The 24,965-nt window shown below is 36.8% G+C and overlaps 1 protein-coding gene across 9 annotated transcripts in view, besides 1 other annotated feature; it reads right to left on the reverse strand.

The window, feature by feature from the left end:
- Positions 1-24,965, reverse strand: part of HMGN3 (high mobility group nucleosomal binding domain 3) — a 33,438-nt gene that overhangs the window by 6,436 nt on the left and 2,037 nt on the right. For 8 of the 9 annotated variants that reach the window (NM_001318888.2, NM_138730.3, NM_004242.4 and 5 more), the window contains exons 2-3: positions 7,292-7,342; positions 867-896 (exon numbers count right to left, since the gene is read on the reverse strand). In NM_001318888.2, coding sequence (NP_001305817.1) covers positions 867-896; positions 7,292-7,342 — 81 coding nt within the window. The remainder of the gene's footprint in view (positions 1-866; positions 897-7,291; positions 7,343-24,965) is intronic. The other variant, NM_001318885.2, reaches the window with a different exon arrangement.
- Positions 22,022-22,522: an enhancer, noted in NCBI's record as "H3K4me1 hESC enhancer chr6:79939419-79939919 (GRCh37/hg19 assembly coordinates)". NCBI's record gives its function as "activates a minimal SCP1, AML or CMV promoter by ChIP-STARR-seq in naive H9 embryonic stem cells {active_cell/tissue: H9 hESC(naive)}" and the evidence as "EXISTENCE:reporter gene assay evidence [ECO:0000049][PMID:30033119]".

The raw sequence follows: 24,965 nt of genomic DNA on the forward strand, positions 1-24,965 counted from the left end.
TCCTAATACCCATTTTTGCTTTGATTCCTTATATTGTATCAGGCACAGATTTGGGTTGAGAATGAAATCCATGCTTTCCTGAAGACCAAAGTAGCATGAAGCTTCTGTAATAGCTAGTATGGGGATATACTAATATAGTGTCAGCCAAAATGCCAATGCCTTTCCCTCTACCTTCTCAGTGGGAAGTCTGGGCTGCAGGAATTTTAACCAAAATCCTCCACTAGAGTCCAGCTAATCTCTCAGGAGAGCAGCAAAAGAGAAGAGCATAAGAACCAGTAAGGAGCACAGGTTGGTGAGGAAGAGCTGAAGGATGTCCACCTCAGAGGCTCAGCCACATCTGCCCATCTCAGCTTGTATCCTAACCCCACAAGAATCTCCTGGCCCACAGAAGGAGACACCAAATAGCAAAGTAGAATTATTACTATTACAAAGATTCTTTAGGTCTGAAATGAGGCTACAGTATATGGACTCAGACAACTTTCAGAACATTCTCATACATACATTCTAAAGTATGAGTTGTGGACAGAGAATCAGAATTCTGTCCACTTCAGCACATCATAGGTACAATCTGAAGACTGGAACTTTGCCTAATATACTACTTTTGTTTCAGAGATCTAGCAATGTCAAACAACATCCTGCTTTATATTCTTCGTTATGGGGCTGGCCACTGTTTTTCTGACACATTTGATCAAGTGAATTGCTTGGCAACACTGGTCAAATTTGCTAGACATGAGGACCCTAGGTAATTTTCAAAAAGAAAATAAGCTCATGGGAAACCATGTTAATCTTCCTTTTGCTGCTTCACTTTGGACAAAGGGAACATGTACTCATAAGAACTAACACTGAAGTGGTTCTAAGGTACTTACCGCTGACAATCTGGCAGACCGTCTTGTGGGCTACAAAGGGAATGGGAAAATATACATATTTTTTGGTGATTATATAAAACGAAGTTGATTTTTAAAAATCTATTCTTAATATACCTTACTTTGTTGAATGACTATAATGTATGATTCCCATCACCTTCTCCAGGTAAGCACAGTGAAACATATCCCAAGTCCCCTGGGCACGATGACACTCAAGAGGAAGTGTTTCTAAAAAGGGGTAGGTATACTGTTCAAATAAACGGCTTCTCCCAACTAAGGGTGTGGTGAATAAGTAAGGGAAATGAAGATCAACTTAGGCTTTATCCCAAATTAAAACCTCTACTTTTATGACAAAATCAACAGCAAGAACATTGAGGTGCTATTTAAGAGCTAGTCTTCAGTCTGACTCCAGCTCCTTAAAAATGGAACTAAAGCTTTTAAGTTAATACAAGAAGAGACTTATGCAATTGTGTAGAAACCAAAATAGCAGGAGTTCCCCATCTTGCTGCTATGTTAGAAATGAAAATGACTACAAATCTTGGCAGTTAACAAGAAAGGCTTCTTTTTACCTATAACAAAACAAACACATTTATCTAGTAGTATATGTTCAAAGGATTTAACCAGAATTAAAAGTGCATTACTTTTTCTTTTAATTTCAAAGTTTAGAAAATTTACAGAGAAACTGTGTAGAAATTGATATTTTGGGGAAATCTTTTTTTCTTCAAGGATATTACAAGTTAACAGCAAATGACCCTGAAAAGAAAATCTAAATTAACAGAACTGTCCTAGGCATTTCAGCAATAACACACAAAATTGATATTCTACTTACCATCCAACCTACGGTGGCTCCCCAAGGGATTTCACATTCTAAAAGCATAACTGCCTTTTTAAAAAAAGTGCCCTAGAAATAAATACTCCATACTTTTTGTCTGTTTTATTCACTGCTCCATCTCCAGTACAGTAGGGTACTGGCCAACATATAGTACAAACTCAGTATTTGCTGAATAAATGAATCCAAGCCTTTCCCTAATTCTCACTGCCTTATGCAGACTTTGCCTCATTACAATAGCTTAAATGTTTCAAATAATTCTTCCTAAGGGGGACAGCAAAAATGGTCAGTAGGAATCCATGCCATAATTATGAGGAATCATGGAATTCTTGAAGTGGGGCTAAGGTCAGTCTAGGTCAGCCAGTCAGGCCAAACTGGAAGAAATATTTCTTGCCATCTCCACATCTAAGAACTTTCTTGCTGAAAATAGCCAGAGAAGCTAAACTCATCTTTCTTTAAACTACAGAAGGAAACGAAGGGCCAGAGCCTCCATGAATACTTTTAACCCTGGAGTCTCGAAGAAAGATCAGAGCTGGACTTAAGGCCAGCTAGGAGAATGTGCTGAGAATGAAAGGCTGTGCAGGTTAAGTGATTGGGTGGGATACACTCACTGCACAGAGTAAAAGCTTGTACAACTCAGCACATAGCCCTGTGAATTAGTACAGGAGGAGTGTGTGTCAGATTCTCCATAGGAACCATAGTGCCTGCTATGGTTATCAAGGGTGCATTCTTGACAGTGCACCCATAAGTCCCTGGGAACCAGAATCCAAATCCTGCAATACCTTTCCCAGCATGGTTAACCGTATTAAGTATACTGAAGGCAACATTTTCAAGTAAACCGGGCAATAAGAGGTATCTTGTGTTTTTTTAATGTACTTTCTGAGCATAGAGGAGCAAAGAGCACCTTCCAATTACCCAACAGAGCTCAGCTTTGAAGCTTCAGTGTGGCCTCAAGGACTATCCATGTCTCATAAACTACAGCAGGCAGAACAATACCTTCCAAGATGAAAGTGACAGTCTCCATGCTAAAGAGAGGTGAAAGAGCCTTATCTGACTCTCTCTCCACTTGATGTCAACTCATGTGCACCATGCTGGTCTTGCCTCACGTTCACCTCATCTGACACGTCTCCATACCTCCTTGCACAGGACCACCTTCTCTTATATTTCTATGGCTCCAATATGTAGCAGGGGCCCTCAATAAGTGTTGAGATGAACAGAAGGGGTAAGCACCAGAAACATACAGCAACTGTGAACTTGTAGGGAGGGGAAGAAGTCCTAGAGCCACTACTCAGTTACTCTTTAGTTTGGGGCCTGAAAAGGGTCCAAACATGTTAGCCATTACTCAAAACTGCCTCCCTATCTGCCATCTAGTTGTCTTGAATAAAATCTCCATGAAGTGAGGCAAAATCATGTGAAAAGTTCCCCAGCTGCGACAATGTTGTTCCTCTCCATGTGAAGACCTGAACATACCAAATAGACTAAGTGATGCCAGAGAGCTCTTTGGGATTTCCAGAGACATTCCAATCTAAGCACTGCTCTACTGGGACTAACAGCTGTTCTGATCCAAAGGACTTAATACCTTTTAAAAATTCAGGTCCAGTACAGGAGTTCCAAAATAAAAAGCCTCGGAAATTAATGCAAAAAAAAAAAAAAAAAAAAAATGCCTAAGCTGTCTAAACCAGCCAGTACCTAAAAATCCTATCTTCTATTATAAAATCATTTTATGACTTGCTACATACAATTTCCCAGCTCTTCTTTCTATGCCATTAAAAAAGACTTTTCTTACATTTTCTTTTCCAGTAGCTATCATAAGAGATTTTCGTTTTCACTGCAAACAGTGGAGGCTGAGATGAACCTTTCACTCAGTCAGCAGTACTGATTATGCATACAAGTATGGACACCTTCCTGGAAAGTTCTATCAGCTTTCACAGCCTTAAAATCTGTAAATTATTGGACTATATTTATTGGATATGAAATAGATTAGACTGCTATTTTTTCCTTTTTAAAACACTAACATGTGAAGTACTCATTTGAGACTCAGATTGTTGGGTGGGACTACGAGGGGAAAAAAAAGCTATTAAGAATTTCTCTTGTTTTTTTTTTTTTTTTTTTAATTGTGAATCCTCAGGAAAAGTGGTCCAGAGACTGCTCCTCAGCACTTCTCTGACATTCGCTATTTCCCTTCCTTGCTTTGTTTTCCTTAATTGCCAATATCCAATTATTTTACTAGCTCTCAGGGAGGGAAGGAGGGCTTTTAGAATGAAAAGTCATCATTGATAAATATGACAAACAGATACGACAAATGTGAGGGTTTGCCACTATGGTATATAGGTGCTGGTCACAGTGGAATTATCCCATAGGCATCATCCCATAGGCATGATCATCCTTTAGGTTGGAGAAAATTCTGGTGAAGCCTATTCTGAAAGACATGAAATCTTCTACTTTAATATCCTGGTTGCAAAAGCAACATAGAAGTCTAATCTCCCAATGACAAAGTACACAGGGATAGCTAGATTCAATAGAATCACTGCACTTTGCTGGATACTGCTTGAAACACATGGACTATTCCTCTGGAATGTGGGAGTATTTTTATTTTTATGAGATGTTGTTGCTCCTGAGCCTGACCATGTACCTCCAAGCAAAACCCAAAAGTCAAGTTGCTTTTAATTCTAAAAAAAAAAAAAAATGCCTAAAAAGAAATTGCCTTTTTTTCAAAACTGGGAAGTAGAAAAGTTTGTACCTCAGAGCCTTGGCTGGGAATAGACAAGACAGAAAAATGGATACTGGATTACCAGATTTTTAGGACTGTCATAAAAGGGCCATAGGGATAGCGGATTTTGGAACAGGAGATGCAGATATCTTTCCTGGTTCTGCTATTTACAAGTTCTAACACCCAGGGAAAATCATGTTTCTCTGAGAACTTTGCTCTAGTTAAAATAGGGATAACATCTGTCAATCTGTCCTCAAAAATAGCACTTCTCTGACATTCACTATTCTCCTTCCTTACTTTGTTTTTCTTCATAGCTAATATTCAATCATTTTATTTTACTCTCTCTCCCACTAAAAGGAAGCTCCATGAAAGCAGCGATTTTTGCTTCTTTTGTTCACTGTGGGATCTGGAGAGCTTAGAACAGTGCTTGGCGCATTATAGGTGCTTATATGTTTTCGTTGAGGAATAATCTGCCTTCCTCTCATTTTAGAGTTACTATATGGACCAGACAAAATAATGGATGTAAAAGGGTTTGTAACTGTTGATTGTAATGACTATAATGTATTATTTTGGTTATTTACTGTCCAAGTCCCCTGAAGTACTATCTTCTGCACAATGCCTTCTAATATGGCAGTGGAAGAGGATTTTCAAAAGAGAATCCCCCTTAGTAACTGTTATCTATTCACTAAAGTCAAGGTGGTGCATACTCAATGACATAACTGGAAAATTCAGTCAATCCAGTGGGAAAGAAAAAAAATCAATCAATCAATACACTGACAGTTTTTACCCGAAACCATCAGCAAACTAACTGACCTTTTCACTTTTTAAATAACTGTGTTGATGTCCTGAAGACATTATCATGAGTTTTAATCTGGCCTTGGCTTAAATGACAGGTAGAGCCTTATCTAGAAACCATTTTTATTAACAACCAAAAATACATAAAATATATAGAAATAATATAAAATAAAATATAAAAATAACAATTAAAAATAAAAACATAATAAAAAAATTAGCCAGGTGTGCTAGCATGCACCTACAGTCCCAGCCACTTGGAGGCTGAGATGGGAGAATCACTTGAGCCAGGGAGATCGAGACTGCAGTGAGCTATGATCTTGCCACCTCACCCACTCCAGCCTGGATGACAGAGTGAGATGCTATCTCAAAAAATAAAATAAAATAAAATAAAATAATATGTATAAGACAGCTGTACAAGCAAAACCACACACATATCCTTTATATATACATTCTCACAAGCTTGATTTACTTTTGGTGTAGTGGGATTGGAAAGACAATCAAAGATTACTGGGTGCCATGGTGTTTCTAGGTTTTTTGACTGACAAATCAATTTAAATGCCAGTCCCTAAGGAAAAACCCAAATGCTTTTGTTTTGGTGTCCAAATCTTAAAAACATTTAAGGTTAGTTATACTTAGCCAACTGTTCTAAAAATCACATTTTGCCATTTCCCAAGAAAATTCAAGCATTTATCATTTTTTGGTTGGTTCTTGCATGTGTGTGATGACTCTGTTTTGGATAACAAACTTCATGATTATTCCAAACTCTGTCAAACAGTGAATGCTAGGTACATGGATGATGGGGACAGACTGTTTTGTTTTGCTTTTAAATTATTTCTTTATAGGTTCTGTTTAAGATTTTCCACTTGGCAGAATGAATTTCCTTGTACAAATCTTGTGCAGGGGTTTTGGTATCACGATAAACTCCTCTGAATTATTAACCACATTATGAATCACCCAATCAAAGAACCTGTAACTAGATATTGTTTTTGTCTCACCCATGACCCCTTTTAGTTGATAAGTTCAAGGGTAACAGCTGCAGTTTTCCACCTATTCTAAAGCCCTGTGCAAACGGAATGGTTGTCATCAAAGTTATATCTCTTTTCCTACTGTTTAGCCCATCTTTTTTTAGAGGTTCATAATAATAACTGTGGATGGTCAAATCCAAGAATCTCTTCCAAGTTTCTAGACTTTTGGAGGTTTCTGAATTTTAAAACAAAACATCTTTGAATCATTGCCTAATTAATTATCCCAATATCCTGAGTGTTCCCAATTTAAAAAAAAGCTTTAATATTTTGACATATTGTGTATCCCTCTACAGTTCTTTTTCTTTTTTTTTTTTTTTTAGAGTCTCTCTCGCTCTGTCACCCAGGCTGGAGTGCAGTGGTGTGATCTCGGCTCACTGCAACCTCCACCTCCCAGGTTCACACCATTCTCCTGCCTCAGCCTCCCGAGTAGCTGGGACTACAGGCGCCCACCACCACGCCTGGCTAACTTTTTATATTTTTAGTAGAGATGGGGTTTCACCGTGTTAGCCAGGATGGTCTCTATCTCCTGACCTCGTGATCCGCCCGCCTCGGCCACCCAAAATGCTGGGATTACAGGCGTGAGCCACTGCGCCCGGCCTATAGTTTTTGATTTTAGAGATGATCCTTCTCAGGCAAAATATTCAGAACCTAAAAAGTGACTTATAATCCACTCACTGGAGCACAGAATTTATGAGATCAACAGTCTTTCATTTTCTTGCTGTGAAAGGCAGACTTTGTTCTCCTTGATGAATTTACCTATTATCTTACTCTTTGCCCAGAAGGAATTCTCAGTATCTGCTTTAACAGAAAGCAGGGCTGACAGGTAGAAACATAAACAACACAGTAAGTGGAAAATGCCTCATCAATATACCCAACTGAAACACACCTAGGCCAAGCGAGACTACATATAGACACTTATCGCTCTTTCAGGTAGTCTTAACAACCTTGATCATTCATATTAAACTTTGTTCATACAATTGTCCGCATTTCATTCAGATGCAGACAATCCTAACAATATTAAACATTTCAATGTAAATAATTAAATATAGGATGTCAAAGATATACTTACCTCCTGTTTAGTTACTTTGGATCCATCTTTGCCCTCTGTATTCTCTGGAGACTAGAAAGAAAATATTTCAGTGAATTGTATTTAAATTGGAAAACACACATTAGAAAAATGTTTTTAAAAAGTTATCTCATTCCCAGGACAAGACAAGCCAACAGATTTTTTTGCAAAGAAAAAGTAAATTACAACAGGGTATGTCTTTTACACACCTACGTGCATGCATGCACACACACGGTAGATAGCTGCATAACTGCTCGACTTTTAAAGCAGAAATGGTGAAAGAACTATGTGATTCCCTGTTCTCAATGTGCATTCACCCTAAGCGACTTTCATTTATCTTTGATGATTCCAGTTAAAGAACAGGGGCCAGAGGTCAGTGGCAGGAATGCCTGGGAGCCACCCTCTTGTTCCATTTGCTTGTTCCAGTCACTCCATTCCTTTAAGATAAGGGCAGGATGCTGGTAAAGCCCAGGCCAACCACAAAAGCACATTTTCATCCCATCCTTGCCTAGCCTTGATTTCTAGCCCATTTCTTGATATGAACTGACAAATTTATCATAGATTACCATTTTTCCATTATCAACTCCAGCATCTCTACTAAACTCCCAGCCTTGGCATGACAGCCAGGCTACGTGCCACCCTCAGCTGATTTATTTCCAGGTTTTGATCCATCCCCTGGGGCAGCACCTGCCTCCTCTTGTAACAGCTCAAACCTGATTCCTTTAAAGGATGTGTATACTATGGGAAAAACATATCTTATATTTTCTTTATATTTTAAAGTAAAATGTACTTTGGATTTATTGGACACTGCACATGTCCCAATATTTTTTATTGGCTAAGAGTTATTAAATAATATTAAAACAACTAAACTACTTAGAAAACTAGACTATTTAACATTTTTAAACTACATAAAGTTAGAAAGTGAATACTCAGTCTCTATGGCACAAATAGGCTGCTGATCTGAATAGAGCTCCTGTTAGAAAAAAATACAAATAGCAAACTGACATTTGACACGATGTTTGGCTCAGCAAAATAAAACAGCTATGTGGTAATGCCTCATCTGATAAAATGAGAACAAAATTCAAGAGATCATAAAACCCACTGTTTGAGGCTAGTGACACTGTAAATTAATATAATCGTTTCAAAGAACAACTTGGCAATATGAAAAAGACACAGAGAATTAATATGATGACCTAGTAATTTTAATTTTGGTACCTGGACTCAGAAAAAGAAACTCTTTGTAAAAATATGGTTTTATTTGTACTATTTCTAATATGGAATAAGTGGAAGCAACTCATGTATCAGTAAATAATAGAGAAATGATTAAGTAAACTATTACTTATTTACATATTTATGTAACAGTGAATGGAATTAAAAAGTTAGGTGATGTAAATACATGAAAAGTCCACATAAAATAAGGCTAAATTCAAAAACTTAGGTCATAAAAATGTACGCAAAACAAAGGTCCTAAGTATATATAAAAGTCTTTAGGAAAGATAAAAGCTTTTCTTCAAGGCAAAGGACCCAGTGACCTTTCTCTATTCCCTAGAGCTGCCCGTTACCCAGAGCCTATCATATGCCCTCTTTCCAGAACCTCCCATGTCATGGATTTCTCTCTTGTTTCCAAATTAACCATCTCCCCTCCTCCGTGGAACCTTCTCAATTATGAAGAAACAGTTTTCTCTTTTTTGTACCCCACTCTCTTGCACAGGAATATTTCGTTTATAGATCTTGTGTTAATCAGTCAGTTGTGGTAGAGATGGCAAAATCTTAGTCTGAGCATATGAAGATAATTCCTAGGTGGACCACTGGTCTTTGCTCACTTCCATGGCTACAAACTCAACCCTTCTGGCCACACAACAGACCCTTGGTTGTCTAGGAGTGCTGGGCTTTCATTCAGACCTGTCAGGTCACTCAGTAGATTTCAGTCTAGGGTACTCTCTACCTATAATTGATAGGCAGTTAAAGCAGCAGTACATAGCTATTATAAGAAAAACTGATGTTAATGACATTATTTTCATATTTTTCTATGCAGTGGATTAGTGACAGGCAATATGATGGAGTTCAATCTCTAAACACCGACCTAATAATGTTTGTATGGGATGCAAATTATTCAAAAAAGAGAAACTTGGAAAGGCACTGCATGAAAAAAGCAGGTACACTGAAAATGTGAATGCCTTCAGACAAATGAACATAAGGCTCTGGATGTAAAGAGCTAGCAAAGCTCGTTTCTCTGGCAATCTACCACAATGGCTTTCTATTAGCAAGCATTTAATACACCTGCAGTCAGGAACAATCAATCTTTACCGGGGATCAGTGTGATACAATGGTATGAATGCAGGATGTGAGCTCAAGACACCTGGTTTGAATCTTGGCTCTATACCTAGAAGCTGTACGATCTGGGACAGTGACTTGATCACGGTGGCTCAGTCTCCTTCATCCATGAATGATAGATGATAATGACAGCTAACTCAAAGGGTACTGCTTATGATCAAGTGAGATACTGGAGAAAGCATTTCATAAACTGTAAATTGTTACACAGAGGTTATGCAATAAAAAAGATCTTTAGTCTTCTAAATTATACAGTATGAAACTATATTCAACAGAGCCTTAAAGTTGAGCACATTTCCTTACATCCAGATTCCCTGCAAACTGGTTATCTGTTTTTGTTGCACAGAGTAACAGGTAGACTATTTTGGAAAGACCTACCATTATAAGCTGTCTTATCACATAACCCTCTCCATCAATTAACACTAAGCCACAGGCCGGAGACAGGAAGGAAGAGAGCATGGTTTTAAGGGATTAAAACAGAAACCCAAAGCTTTTTGTGCCAAGGGATTGCGAAGAATAAAAACATAGAAAGGAGGGAAACAAAAGGCTGGGGGTGGATATAGGGGATCTCAGATGTACTTCAACCTCCTGGCAGGTGGATGTGAAAGATGAGGAGAGTTAGACGGGATGCAGGGACTGCCAAGGCAAAGGGGGCTCTTGCCCCACTCTCCAGGACACAACAGGCTTACACTAATCCAGTTTGAACCAAGAATGGTCAAGAGGGCCCAAATCATGGTCAAATAAAAAGGTCTCATGCACGTATCCACGTCTGCAAGAGACGTTTTAACTTTTTGTTGTTGGTTTCTCATGCCTTTTAAGGAAGCTGCTTATGTGAGGATACTCCTGTATGCTCTCACCCTGTACCAGCCCTAGGCTTTGTTTCTTATCCCTTCTGGCACACCCCAAGAAGGAAAACAATGGGGAGTGGGGAGGGAAGGAATGCTTGCTCAATTAGATTTTAAGACTTAAAAATAATAAACAATATAGGTAACTAACACTTATACAACAATATGATACTTAAAAGAGACACCAAAAACTCAAGGATATAGAAAGCATGAAAATAAAAGGATGTTGAAAAAATATATACTTAGCTAAAATTAATTAAAAAGTAGAAACGACCTAAACATATGTCATCAGAAGGATATATACACTGTGGTATATAATCAAATAATATGTAGCAGTGAACACAAATGAACTACGGGTGTGCACATCAACAGAGATGAATCTCACAAACGTAATGTTGGGCAAAAAAGGGAAGTCATGGCACGATTTTAAATAAAGTTTGAAAATACAAATACAAGAAAAGTCTATAAAGAAAAGCATAACAAATGATAACTGCAAAATCATGACTGAGGTTACCTTTTGCTGAGGAAAGGGAGGGTAATTTGACTGGGAAAGACAAAGTCATTGGTAAGAGTTATATTTCTTAAGCTAGATGGTGGTTTATTATTATGTAAATAATATTTATTTAGATACTACATACGTATGTATGTTTTATATTAAAATGTTTTTGATTCATACAAAATAGAAATTTTGAAGCTAATAAAAGCAGGCTCATTGAAATAAAAAACTCAAAACACGGATAAACTCTAGACCAGACACAGTAGGAACTGCCATAGACTGCTGAGGAATTAAGAATGCAACAAAGAACAACAAAAGGATGAACAAAAGAGAGGTTAGGTGATGTGGTTAATTGAGAAGCTCCACAACTATCTAATAGGCATTTCAGAAGCAGAGAAAGAGGTATCAGTAGGAAGGCAAAGACATAATGACTATTTTCCCAAAGTAAAGTCTTGACTCCCCAGATTGAACACTCACACCAAGGAACAAACTGAAAACAAAACAAAACAAACAAAATAATACAACAGGACATATTGTAATAAAACTACAAAGCATCAAGGAAAATGAGAAAATCTGTAAAGTTATCAGAGTTAAGGCAGATTACCTATAAAGAATTACTTCTCCAACAACAAATACAAATGTATGAAAATATAGAGTACTATTCAAGGAGTTGAGGAAAACTGCCAACCTAGAATTCTATACCTAGCTATCATTCAAGAGTGATGGCAAAATAAAGCCATTTCAGAATACAAACATAAAGAGAGTTCACTTCCAACAAAGCATTTCTTTCAACAAGAATCTATTACTAAAGGTTCAAATTTAGTAATAAGAAAAACAAATCTAGAAGGAAGGAAAACTATGTAAGAAAAAAATGTAAAAAATATACTAATAAATTTAATTAACCACTAATCGTAAACAACATTACCTATTGTGTTTTTAAGTTTCAACAGAAATTCTACAGCAGTTCTTTCCTACAGAAATACAACATATAATTTTAGATTTTCTAATTGCCACATTAAAAAAGCATAAAAACAGGTAAAACTAATTTTAATATTTTATTTAACTGACTATATCTAAAACTTTATTATTTCACCCTGTAATTAATGCAAAAAAAGATTAATGAGATATTTCACAGACTTTTTTGTACTAAATCTTTAAAATCTGGTGTTCGTTTTATACTTAGAACACATTTTTATTCAAATGCTAAATTTTTATCAGGAACATCTAATCTGTATTTAGAATTCATAAAACTTACAGTAGTTTTACCCAGGTTGCTCCAAACATTTATAATTTACCAATCGCTGATTCTAATATCAGTTTTTAAACTTAAGTTGATTAAAATTAAATAACAAATTCAGCTCCTCATTCTTAAGTGTTTAATAAACTCATGCAGCTAATGGCTACCATATAGCACAGCTTTAGACAAAAACAATCATGAAAGATAGAAGTGGGGTCGGTAGATAAGAAGTTAAAGGATACTATGGTCCTGGTTTTGTTCTGGAGGATGATACAGATACAGATTAATTTTAGACTTTGTTAAAATAAAATTTAAAGTTACCATTAAAAAATGTAAGAACAGAAATAGGATCTATAAACTTCCAAATCAGGAGGGGTGGAATAAAACATATTTACCAATAAAAAGCAGGAAAGTAAAAAACAAAGGAAAACAAAGAATAGAAAACATAAAAAGTCCAAATAAATCAGCAATCACAATATACCTAGACATAGTATACCCTTCCATTATAATGACAAGTGACAGAGGGAAGAAACAGAGTAATACATGTACAGGACTACACTTCTACAAATTGCCTTTTTTGTTTTTTTGAGACGAAGTCTCACTCTGTCACCCAGGCTGGAGTGCAATGGCGCGATCTCGGCTCACTTCAACCTCCACCTCCTGGGTTCAAGCGATTCTCCTGCCTCAGCCTCCAGAGTAGCTGGGATTACAGGTGCGTGCCACCACACCTGGCTAATTTTTGTATTTTTAGTAGAGATGGGGTTTCATCATGTTGGTCAGGCTGGTCTCAAACTCCTGACCTCAGGTGATCCACCCACTTTGGCCTCCCAAAGTGTTGAGATTACAGGTGTGAGCCACCACGCCCCACCACTTATACAAATTTTAGAACATGCACAAATCAATATTATGGATGGATGGATGGATGTGTCATAAAGGTATAAAAGCAAGAACTGGAAGAATACACAACAAATTCGTGATGATGGTTATCTTTAGGGGGGATGATAAGGAAAAAGGAACCAAGGGGATGTTTCAAAGGAAACTGAACTTTAATAATTTATTTTCTAAAAAGGCCTGAAATGAACAATGATTTTTAAAAGACTCCAATTTGTGAATTCTCAGTGGTGGGTAAATAGGTATATTATATTATTTCCTGGATTTCTCTGTATTTATGTTTTTTTCTAAATAAAAATATTATCCATACTGGGGAGAAGAAAAAGACTAAAAGCAAACCTACTCTATTAAAAACAGTACCATATCTACTCCCTAATACAAATTACATAACTAGGTTTACTCACAGCATTTTTTCTATTTCTTCAATATCGTATCAATCTGGTTTATATTGCCTCCTCTTCTGTACAAGACATGTAATATAACTGCTTCATTTGTACTGATAATGAAGGCACTGGACTCAGAACTCTTGAAGGAGTGTGGGAGTCGAGATGGGCAGAGGGAGTGTGGATTCCTTCAACAGCTGACCAACTGTGCCATCCCCATTCTTTCTTTACACAAAGATGCCTGGGTCCTGCATGTGCAGAACACTCAAATGTACTGAAGGGATCAGAACTGTATTTTCCTTAAGTCTTTCCAGCAGTCCCTATCAGAAACCAAGGGAAGAAACTTGGAATTTTTATTCCATAGGCCATCCATGAAGAATCAACAAGGTTTGCTGACCTTCTTTCATGTAAACAGTGCTTACCACAACATAAACAGGCACTGTGGGGTGATGAGCCCAATTTTCTCCCTCCAAACTCAAGAAGGTATCAGAAGAGTGTAAGAAAATCCTTACACCCTTTCAACAGCTGCTTAGGAACGGCTTTAGATGGCAGCAGTCTGTGGCTTTGTTAGTGTGGAGAAGGACACTGAGGGAGAGGCAGGAGGCAGAGAAGTTTAACGCTACTGCACTAGGAGTGATCTTCAGCCCATGGAAGACAAGAAAGAGGAGGGCTCAGGATTTTCAGCACAGTGTTGGACCTTTCTTATGTTAAACTTCCAAAAAACCTTCATTGGTACATGTAGTACCAATTCATTGGTACATGTATTGGTACATGTATTGGTACATGTAGTACAAATTCATTGGTACACATAGGCTCTTAGTTACTTAGAGTTTTACTTCTAAGAGTTTAAGTGACAAAGGCTATTGTTTTACGACTTCAGCGAATTAGCTGAAGGCCTACAGTAATTATGAAACTCAAATAACCATTTGCCAGCAGCCCCAGAATAAATCCAATCTCAACTCCTAGGTTATCCATGCTAACGAGGAAAAGCTGATGGTATATATAACAGTGCAAAGAGACCAACAATCATTTCTTTTAACCTAGGGAGTGTATTACATTGAGATAATCTTTTTCTAATTTGCTGGCCAATGTTTTAAAATTATTACTTTTATTGTTTTTTTTCAGTTACAAACTCAAGGCTGGGGAAAAAAGCAGTCCAGTATTAAATTGGTTAAAAAGAAAACCACTATGGCACCAAAAAATTCAAATAACACACCACGAGAAGGTCTGAAATGTGCCTATACCTAACTCTGTCGCTCTTCAGCTAAAATGAACACATAACTACTTAACACAAGGTTAATTCTCTCCACAAATGAGGGCACTGTCCATGAAATTCTTATAAGGTTTCTTGAGTTAAAAGGTAGTCTCCTTAAATTCAAATACTTCTATGACACATTAAACAGACACTGGAAGTTTTACTCAAAGCCACCAAGCGATGTTTAACAATGGCTTGGTTGTTTTTCATTGATCCTGTAGGTGTATGTCTGGGATCCTCTATTACTACATTGCTTTTAAAGTAATCTTTAAATATCCAATACTTGGAATTGAGAGGTCCCTTCATGGGATTAATAATCAAACTTACGTTAAATTTATTTTCCATATCCTCCCCTGCTTGGCTTATCAATTCCAACAGGTGACTTCTATAAACTCAAATTACATTGATTAAGGTCACTGCAGGCTACTATGTCTTTTGTAAATGTTATTTTATTGTTCAAGATAAAAGTAGTAATTAAGAACGCTTCTTTAGAAGACTTTGAACTGAAATAAATAGCAACTCTCTCTTTTCTGAGGACCACTTTGCAGGGAAAATATTTCTCTTGCAATCAGATATAAAAGATAACTAAAAATAAAGAAAGTTGTGTGCCAGTATGTTCAGTGAAACTTTATTAGTGTAAATACACACAATTCAATAATTAGGGTTTATATTTAATATTAAGGAAATATAGGCCAGGCACAGTGGCTCACATCTGTAATCGCAGCACTTTGGGAGGCTGAGGAGGGCAGATCACTTGAGGCCAGGAGTTCGAGACCAGCCTGGCCAACATGGCAAAATCCGTCTCTACTAAAAATACACACAAGGCTAGGTACAGTGGCTCAGGCCTATAATCTTAGCACTTTGGGAGGTCGAGGCAGGCGGATCATGAGGTCGGGAGATGGAGATCATCCTGGCTGACACGGTGAAACCCCATCTCTACTAAATATACAAAAAATTAGCTGGGCCGGGTGGCATATGCCTGTAGTCCTAGCTACTCAGGAGACTGAGGCAGGAGAATTGCTTGAACCTGGGAGGCAGAGGTTGCAGTGAGCCGAGATCGCGCCACTGCATTCCAGCCTGGGTGACAGAGCGAGACTCTATCTCAACAAACAAACAAACACACACACAAACAAACACCCACAAAAAACAATTAGCTGGGCATGGTGGCACATGCCTGTAATCCCAGATACTTGGGAGGCTGAAGTGTGGGAATCGCTTGACCCTGGGAGGTGGAGGCTGCACTGCACTCTAGCCTGTCTTGTCTCAAAAAAAGAAAGAAGTTTAAATATTTTAAACCTCTTTGGTCTGAGCTGTCCCTTTCACTAGAGTTACCTTTTTTTTTTTTTATGTGCTGTGGTTTTGTACAAACATGGCCATGCAGAAAGCACGTGGCTCAATCAGAAGCCTGAATTCCAGTCTGGCTCACACCTGACTTCTCTAGACTTGAGTTTCTTCACCAGTAAAACTAGTTAAGATGGACCTTAAGATCTCACTCACCTGACTAACTTAGCTACTTGTGTACTTATTTATCACACTATAGAAGTGCCATGTGTACATCATGGGAATGCCAAGCACTGGGGTATCAGGAAAGCAAAGGAAAAGGAGCACAGCAGAATAATGAAGATGTGTACTGCAATTATGTGCAAGGCAATGATTGAAATGATTTAATCTTCACCGCAATCTTATGAGGTTGGTAAAACATGATTATATCCATTTTATTAACTAGGAATTGTGGCCAGAGAGGTTGAATAACTTGCCCAAGATTAGTCAGCTGGTAATCTTGCTGGTAAGTATTAACAGAAGAGCTGGAATTCAGCTCTTCTAGGCTGGCTCAAAGTTCATACTCTTATCCACTACACCATTCAAAGTGGTTTGTGTTAAGTGTTCTTAATTTCAAAACTGGGTGCAGATCTGGGATTCTAGAAGAGCAAAAGCCTTCCAGCTTGGGAAATGCTTTAACCTGTAGCCCTAGCCAAAGAACAAATGATATGTAAAGGAGTGCTTCCTATTCTCCATCATTCATGAGCCTCTTGAAATAATAACAAACAATAACCTATTAAAAATAGTTTATGTTGAGTTGAACAAAATTTTAGTATTATTCTGGGTTTTTAAAAAGTCATACGCACGGATCTGGTTGTTTTTATCTCAGTATTGAAACCAAAAACATACACCAAATCATCTATAATTTTTTGTAGTACTTTACATGTTCAGTGTGCTTCCATATGGTTGTTGCATTTGATGCTTTCAATATTTCTGAGATAAACAGGGGCACAGTCTTAATATTTCCATTGTACAGATGAAGAGTAGAGCTTCCAAGACGTCAAGTGACCTTCCCGAGGTAAAAAGTGGCAGAATTCACACTAGACCAAAGTCTCTGTATTGTTATAACAGGGCTCTTAAAAGAGATGTTACCAGATGGTTACTTTATTATTTTCCTGTTTGCTCGGACATACATTAACTTCTGGCAAATGGTAAACACAGTTATGATGTTCCTTGTATTTTTGCAAAACTAATCAGCTGGCTGTAATGTGATCTACATATGGTTGCTTAGGACAAATAAAATTAAAAATTGTAATTAAGGGGTAAAGTAAAGCAATGAGAAGTAGTCAGAATATAGTTTGTTAAAAAATGTATTAAATAAAATACATATGGAACTTAAGGAGCCTTTAAAGCTTCACATTTTGATAACTTCGTCTTTGGTACGTTTTCTCCCATATACATCATGCCTTACTTTTCATACCATGAATTTCTACAATATAGAACTTAACTAATTCTGTCCAATATTATAAAAACATCCCACAGTTTCCACCTAAGAAAGAGACAAAGAGTGAGCAAAAAGTAAAAGAAATAAGAAAACCAATACCTCTCAGGGTAGATTTTGTATTTCATTGTATGGGGTCAAAATAATCAAAATATAATTTTAAAATATCACTTGTACATTTAAAAAATAACATCTGAAATAAAACATTAGTCAACTGGTAATCTAGCACACCTAAATAAAAATCCATCCAGTCCTAGGTCCAGTGGATTTTCCTAGCTATTAAGCTTTTATTCTTCACGAGTTCCAAAAACAAAAGCATCTACTTATTTTTTAAACCCAGTCCCTAAGTAATGACAGCTTAATATTTACATTAAAATCCCTCAATATATTGTATAATATGCAAGCGTATTTACATGTTCCTGTTCACAAGGGAGTATTCCCATTATTCTATATATAGCAAATTGATGAAGACAATGTATCATGGAAGTAGCAAATCCAGCAGTTCACAGTGGAATCTGAGAAAATTATAAAGAGTCAGACTTTTAATACTCTAAACAATCAATATTTAGGTGAGGAAACTGCATATGTGTATCTTGTCTACAACCCTACAGTCCACTAGTTACTGAAATACCTAGAAGATTTCATGGTAATGCTCCTCTCTTACCAAGAACAGAACTGCACCCTGAGGCCAGCCTTAGGGCAGGATCACAAATAATAATGACTTGTTGGGTAACTTTCTACAACAGGCATTTAGAAACCATGGCACCAGCCTATATTGTAATAAAGATATTTTAAACAAATGAACACTCATGTTTACGTAACTCTTGATTCCTCCATGTTTCATTCATTAGGCACTGTAGTTAAAATAAAAATACATGTGGTTATTAGAAATAAACATATACAGAAAGTATTATGGTGTAATAGTTAACAGCAAAATTCCTGAGTAAAAGAGGGCTTGGTTAGAATGCTGGTTCTATCACTTCCTAGCTGTGTGACCCAGAGGAAATTTGTTAATCTCACTAAATCCCAATATTTTCCTCTGTGTTTGAGAAAGGCTGCAGGGTTCACTGGTTAAGATCACAGGCTCTGCAGCCAGACTTCAGGAGTGAAATCCCAACTCAGCCATTCCTTATCACAGGTGCTGTGGGGAAGTCTGTTAACCTCTTGGTGCTTCAATTTTCTCATATGTAAAATGAGAACGGGAAACGGACACACCTTACTGGGTGGTTGGAAGAATTAATATTATTAATGCAAAGTGCTAAAAACAGTCTGACTCATAGAAAGAGACCTCTTTCTTAGCTGTGAGATGAAATTGCTTCATTAAACTGTTGTGAGAATAAAATGAAAAATGAAATTATAGTATATACTTCTCTCGCATTTATTTCTAATAATTTCACATTTTTATTTAAACTAAGGTGCATTATGAATACAAAACACGTATCTCAGGTCTGGTACACCCAGGCATTCAGGAAATAGCTCGATTTTGATATTAATTCAATTTTAATAGTAGTAAGTATATTTGTGTTAATTACTGACATTTCTCTTAAAATATTAAATTTTGGAGCCAATTTCGAAGTTTAAAACCATTTTTCTATCTTCCTACTTCTGAATGTGCATATCATTTACTTTATGTGTGACTGAATATGTATTTGCCTTGGGCATATCTCAATAGCCCTGTTTCTGGATATGCCCACAGGGTAGAAGAATACTGGATTCAATAAATAGCTTGACCAAGAACCCCTACGTGATTTGACTGAATTCTTCTAAGAAGACAGTGAAATGTACAATAAGTAAGTAACCAGTGAAAAGGAATTCAACATTTTGATTTAGTTTGTTAACTTCGACAGTGATTTTTAAATTACTCAGGAGACTAACATCATATTTCAACACTCTAGGTACTATGAAGGCAGACAGCTTAAATGGTGTTTATTTCAGTCACCATTTCCAAATTGTACCCTGCAGGAAAGTGGAATATATTTAACTCTGGTGTAAACAAAAGCAATGTTTTAGGAGAAAAATATAGGAAAAGAGGATCACTTGGTACCTGATCTTCCAAGGGAATTTTAACATTATATGAAGATATTTTTAAACATTTTTTTTTCCATTAGAAAAATCAACCATGTAAAAATGCACAAGATTAAAGCTTCTGTTCTTTCAGAAACACTCCATTTGTTATTTGGTGATTAAACATGTATTTCTATAATTGCAGTGAATTTGACATCAGGGTGGGATCTGCTGGCTCCCTACTACTCACTGCGTGCACCATTTATCATCCCACAAAGTGGAGGCCTAGTGCTTGTTAGAAGCCTGTTATTTCACTGTGATTCTCTTAATAATTAAAAATCTCATAATCACAACAAACATCCATTGATTGTTTTACACATATCAGGCACTGGGCTAAGTTCTTTGAATTCACTATCTCAGTTAATTCTCATAATCAACGAAACAGAGCATATCATTATTCCCATTTTACAGAAGAGGAAACTGAGTCTTAGAGAATTAGGAACTTAGCAGCTAAGGGAGAGGTTAAGGAAGCTACCTTAGATCATATAGCTAATAAACAGCAAATGCCAGAACCATACTAGAGTTTTTCCCACTGTATGAAATAATTAAACCTACTTAGTATGAAATGATTAAACTTATTACTCCCTTCCTTTGAAAACAATTTATTCATCAATTTGTTCTACAAATATTTACACTACCTGTGCTAGGTGCTATGGGGGATGAAAGGAAGATCAGAGCCATGAATGACTTCATGGTAAAGTAAAATTAGGATTACAAAACAAAATTAAATCAAAAATAGGTAATCAATCAAATAACTTGTGCTGATTTAGAAACATGGCGCCAGACAACTTCTGAAACACAACAGGGTGGTTAAAAGCTATAACCCCCAACCCTTTTAACTGAACAACACTCTTTCGCAGTGTTTCTTCTTTGGACATTCAGCCTGGCCAAACCTTTGAATGCTCACTGCTCATAGCTTCTCTTGTGGCTCATTATCACTTTCTGGCATGAATTATAAATACTTGTTTATGTGTTCTACCTATCCCATCAGACAGAAAAATCCTTAAAAACAAGGGTATTTACTCATTCAGGTTGAAAAAAACAGTAATTTTTCATTTAATTTCCCAAGGCGATGGTATCTTGCATAAAGGTGATGCCCAATGAATGTTTAACATGGAGCAAATGAATAATTAAATGTACAGCCCTGCCATTTTGGAGCCTTTACTCAAACATAGATTCCATATCAATATTTAACTCAATCAAATGGAGCAAGCATTTATGGATGTCAGGCCCTTTCATATTCAGACTGGGAAACTCAATATTGCTAAGAAAGCAATTCTTTCCTAACTGATTTATAGATTCAATTCAATCTCTATCAAAATAATGGCAGGCTTTATTTTTGTAGAAATGTATAAAGTGATTCTAAAATTTACATGAAAACATAAAAGACTGAATAGCCAGAAACAATTTTGGGAAAAAATAACAAAAAGTGAAGGACTGACATTACCAGATTTAAAATCTTACTATAAAACCATAATAATCAAGATACCAAGATAGCGTAGTTTTTAAATTTTTTGTAGAGATGACGTCTCGCTATGTTGCCCAAGCTGGTCTCAAACTCCTGACCTCAAGTGATCCTCCTGCCTCAGCCTCTCAAACTGTGGGGATTACAGGTGTGAGCCACTGCTCACCTAGCCAAGATAGTGTAGCACTGGTATAAGAACGACATACAGACCATAAAACATAATTGAGTGTCCAGAAATAAAGTTTTACATTTATGAAGGAGCTTCAACAAAGGTGCGTAGGCAATTCAGTAGAGAAAGGATGGTCTTTTCAACAAATGGTGCTGAGGTAATTGGATTTCTACAAGCAATAAAATGAATTTAAACCCTTACCTCATACCACACACAAAATTAATTCAAAATGGATAACATACCTAAATATAAGAGTTAAAAGTATAAAACCTCTATGAGAAAACATCCATAACCTTGAATTAGGCAAATATTTATTAGATATTAACACTAAATGGATTTCATCAAAATTAAAAACTTTTGTTCTTCAAAAGACACCATTAAGAAAAAAATATATTTTTAAGTCACAAACTGGGAGAATATATCTACGAATCATATATCTGATAAGGGACTTGTATCTCAGACTTATAAAGAACTCTTTCAATAATAAGACAACCCAATTAAAAATGGGCAAAATATCTGAATAGACATTTCACATATGATACACATTATGCTAGTAAACACGTGAAAAGATGCTTATTGTCAGTAGTTATTACAGAAATATAAATTAAAATTCATAAGAATCTCTATAAGCAAAAAATCAACAATACCAAGTATGAACAAGTATGTTGAAATTAGAACGCATGCACTTTGGAAAACAGTTTGGAGGTTCCTTAAAACGTTAAACATAGACGGCCGGGCGCCGTGGCTCACACCTGTAATCCCAGCACTTTGGGAGGCCGAGACGGGCGGATCACGAGGTCAGGAGATCAAGACCATCCTGGCTAACACGGTGAAACCCCGTGTATACTAAAAATACAAAAAAATTAGCCGGGCGTAGTGGCGGGCGCCTGTAGTCCCAGCTACTCGGGAGACTGAGGCAGGAGAATGGTGTGAACCCGGGAGGCGGAGCTTGCAGTGAGCTGAGATCGCGCTACTGCCCTCCAGCCTGGGCGACTGAGCCAGACTCCGCCTCCAAAAAAAAAAATGATAAACATAGACTTTCATACCACCTGCCAGTTCTACTCTTAGAAATCTTCCCAAGAGAAATGAAAATATATGTCCATGCAATCACTTATTTACAAATATTCACAGCAGCATTATTGATAATAATCCAAACCTGGAACAATCCAAATGTCCATCACCTTGTGAAAGGATAAACAAAAATGAGTATATCCATACAATGGAACACTACTGGACAATAAAAAAGAATGATGTACTGATATATGCTACAACACAAACTGATCTCAAAAACATCATGCTGAGTGAAAAAATCAGTCACAAAAGACTACATATTGTATCATTTCTTTTAAATAAAATTTCCAGAAAAGGCAAATCTAGATACAGCAAAAGTAGATTAGTGCCTAGGGCTAGGCTGGGAGTGGGGATTGGCTATAAACTCCATGAGGGACCTTTGTGGAATGATGGAAATGTTACAAAACTGGATTATGACAATGGTTGCGCAACTCTATACTTTACTAAAAATCACTGAATTGTATACTTCGAATGGATGAATGGACTTTATAGTAAGTAGATTATACTCAATAAATGTTTTAAAGGAAATTATACTCTCATAACTGAGAGTGCTGAGTGTCTATATCCCTCAGCACTAGCCAGTAGGTTTTTAATCTTTTTTTAAACCAGATTGGTTATTTTAAAAATTACATCTCATTATTCTTAATATTGTACATTTCTTTGATTTCTAGTAAAACCAAACATTTCTGTCTACTTGAGTCTTCATTATTTTCCTATAAAGATATACATCTTTTCCATAAGGAAATGTGAGATGCTATCTTTTTAAAACAGCAAACCTTTTTCAGTGATATGTGGTACAAATATTTTTTCCCAGTTTTTCATAAATTTAAAAATTTTGTTAACAGTTTTTTTTCCCATATTGAAATATTCATTTTCATGTAGCCAAATTTATCTGTGTTTTCATTTACAGTTTCTGTTTTTGGTGTTATGACAAGTAATATTCTTTTCAAAATTAACTATCACAAACCTTGATCATGGTTAGTTAAGCATCCCCTGTGCTAATAAGCCCAATGCTACTGCTACTGGGCCTTCCATTTTAAGGAAACAGATAAAAACCTAATTTTGAGTTTCAAAGCTAGAGGCAGATGGGCTTTCCTTCCTTAAACCTTTAAGTGTCAAGAGACATGACTGCTTACATGCCACATTCATGGAAAATTGCCTCATTAGAGAATTTCTGATGTGATACACTAGACATTTAAAATAGTTCTAGTGATAAGGAACTGGAAAATATTAATAAAAAGAAAGAGGTAAAAATGTGTTTCCTGTCGCTAATCATGCCAGGACTGTGACTCTAGGCCTCGCTGGCTCATGTCTCTTCGTAGAACATCAAATCATCACATAACAACATGACCACTGCGGGCATTTGTGGATGTCTGGCCAGAACAGTCTAGAACTCAATCACTCATTGTCTCACCACTGAGTCCATGAATGTTATCATTTCCCCTGTAATTCCACTCACCCACCATCCATTATCTAAAAAATACAGGAAACTCACTTTTATTTACATCTCACAAACTTAGAGATAATATGCACTGAAGAACTCTTCACTAAGTGCTGTATTACTTCACAAAATACTATGGCATTTATAAAAAACCACTTGGCTTAATGTAGTTATGACTATCACACACAAAGATACACATAAAACTTACAAAGAAATGTCATCAGAACATTTTAATATTAATTCAGATGATATTATAGCCCTGAAGTTGCAAAACTGAGGCCTGGTCATGTTAAGATACAATCAGGAGACACACTTGAATACCTGGTAACAAAAAATGACTCTGACTTCTTTGTATATTTGAGTCCTACCCACACTTTTAAGACCAGCCTAAAGTTAACTTTCCTTATCTGTCCTACTGCTTGTGGGATCTATAACTACACATTCTGGAACACATACACAGTTTTAATGTTATTCAACTGTTTTGTGCTGCTAGTCTTATCACCTCATTGAATTAAACACAAGTTCCAAGAGGGCAAAAACTGTATGTCCCTACAGCATTACAACAGGGCTAGGATTCCAGATGTTTTCATTGACTTTATCTGTACCACTTCTTGCTCTGCAGAACAACTTACTCAGATGTTCATTAAATAACATTTCTTGATTTCTAGGAAAGGTTGATACAGGGGGCTAAGAAGGCAAAAAAGTACTAGGGGGACATTTTAAAAGCTTATTATATTGTAGAGCAGACAATTCTTTAGTCAAGAAAAATATTGTGTAGTATGTAAATGCTTTGGCAGTTACCCCAGCTTTGAAGATCTTGAAGAGCTATGCATGGATTGTCTCCAGTTCTTTTTTGTATCTAAGCAGGCTTTACCTAATGACAGTGGTTCCTCACATAAGTTCCAGTGAACTTCAGGATTCCATGAGGCTGCTCTAAGACTTGACTGATAGATGGATGGCCATGATCGCCGTGTTTAATCTGAGGTTGTTCCTGCCCAGGTACCAACTGAGGTCGTTAGGCTTCAGGTATAAATGGAAAGCCTTCCTATTAATCAAGGAGAGGTTTTCCATCACCGGAGAACACTCTGATGTCCTCAGGAATGACACACAGGTGCCTGTACACAGTTTTGCCCCTAGTCTCAGGACCATTGGCTAGCTTATGCATGGGGGTTCCCTGCCTTCCAGGGAAATAAAACTGTAGCTGTAATTTTACTGTTATTTTAGTTTTTTTTTTTTTTCCTTCCGTCTCCTTGAGAGAGGCAGACAGG

The sequence above is a fragment of the Homo sapiens genome, chromosome 6 (genome assembly GCF_000001405.40).
Source record: "Homo sapiens chromosome 6, GRCh38.p14 Primary Assembly".
Taxonomy (NCBI): Eukaryota; Metazoa; Chordata; class Mammalia; order Primates; family Hominidae; genus Homo; species Homo sapiens.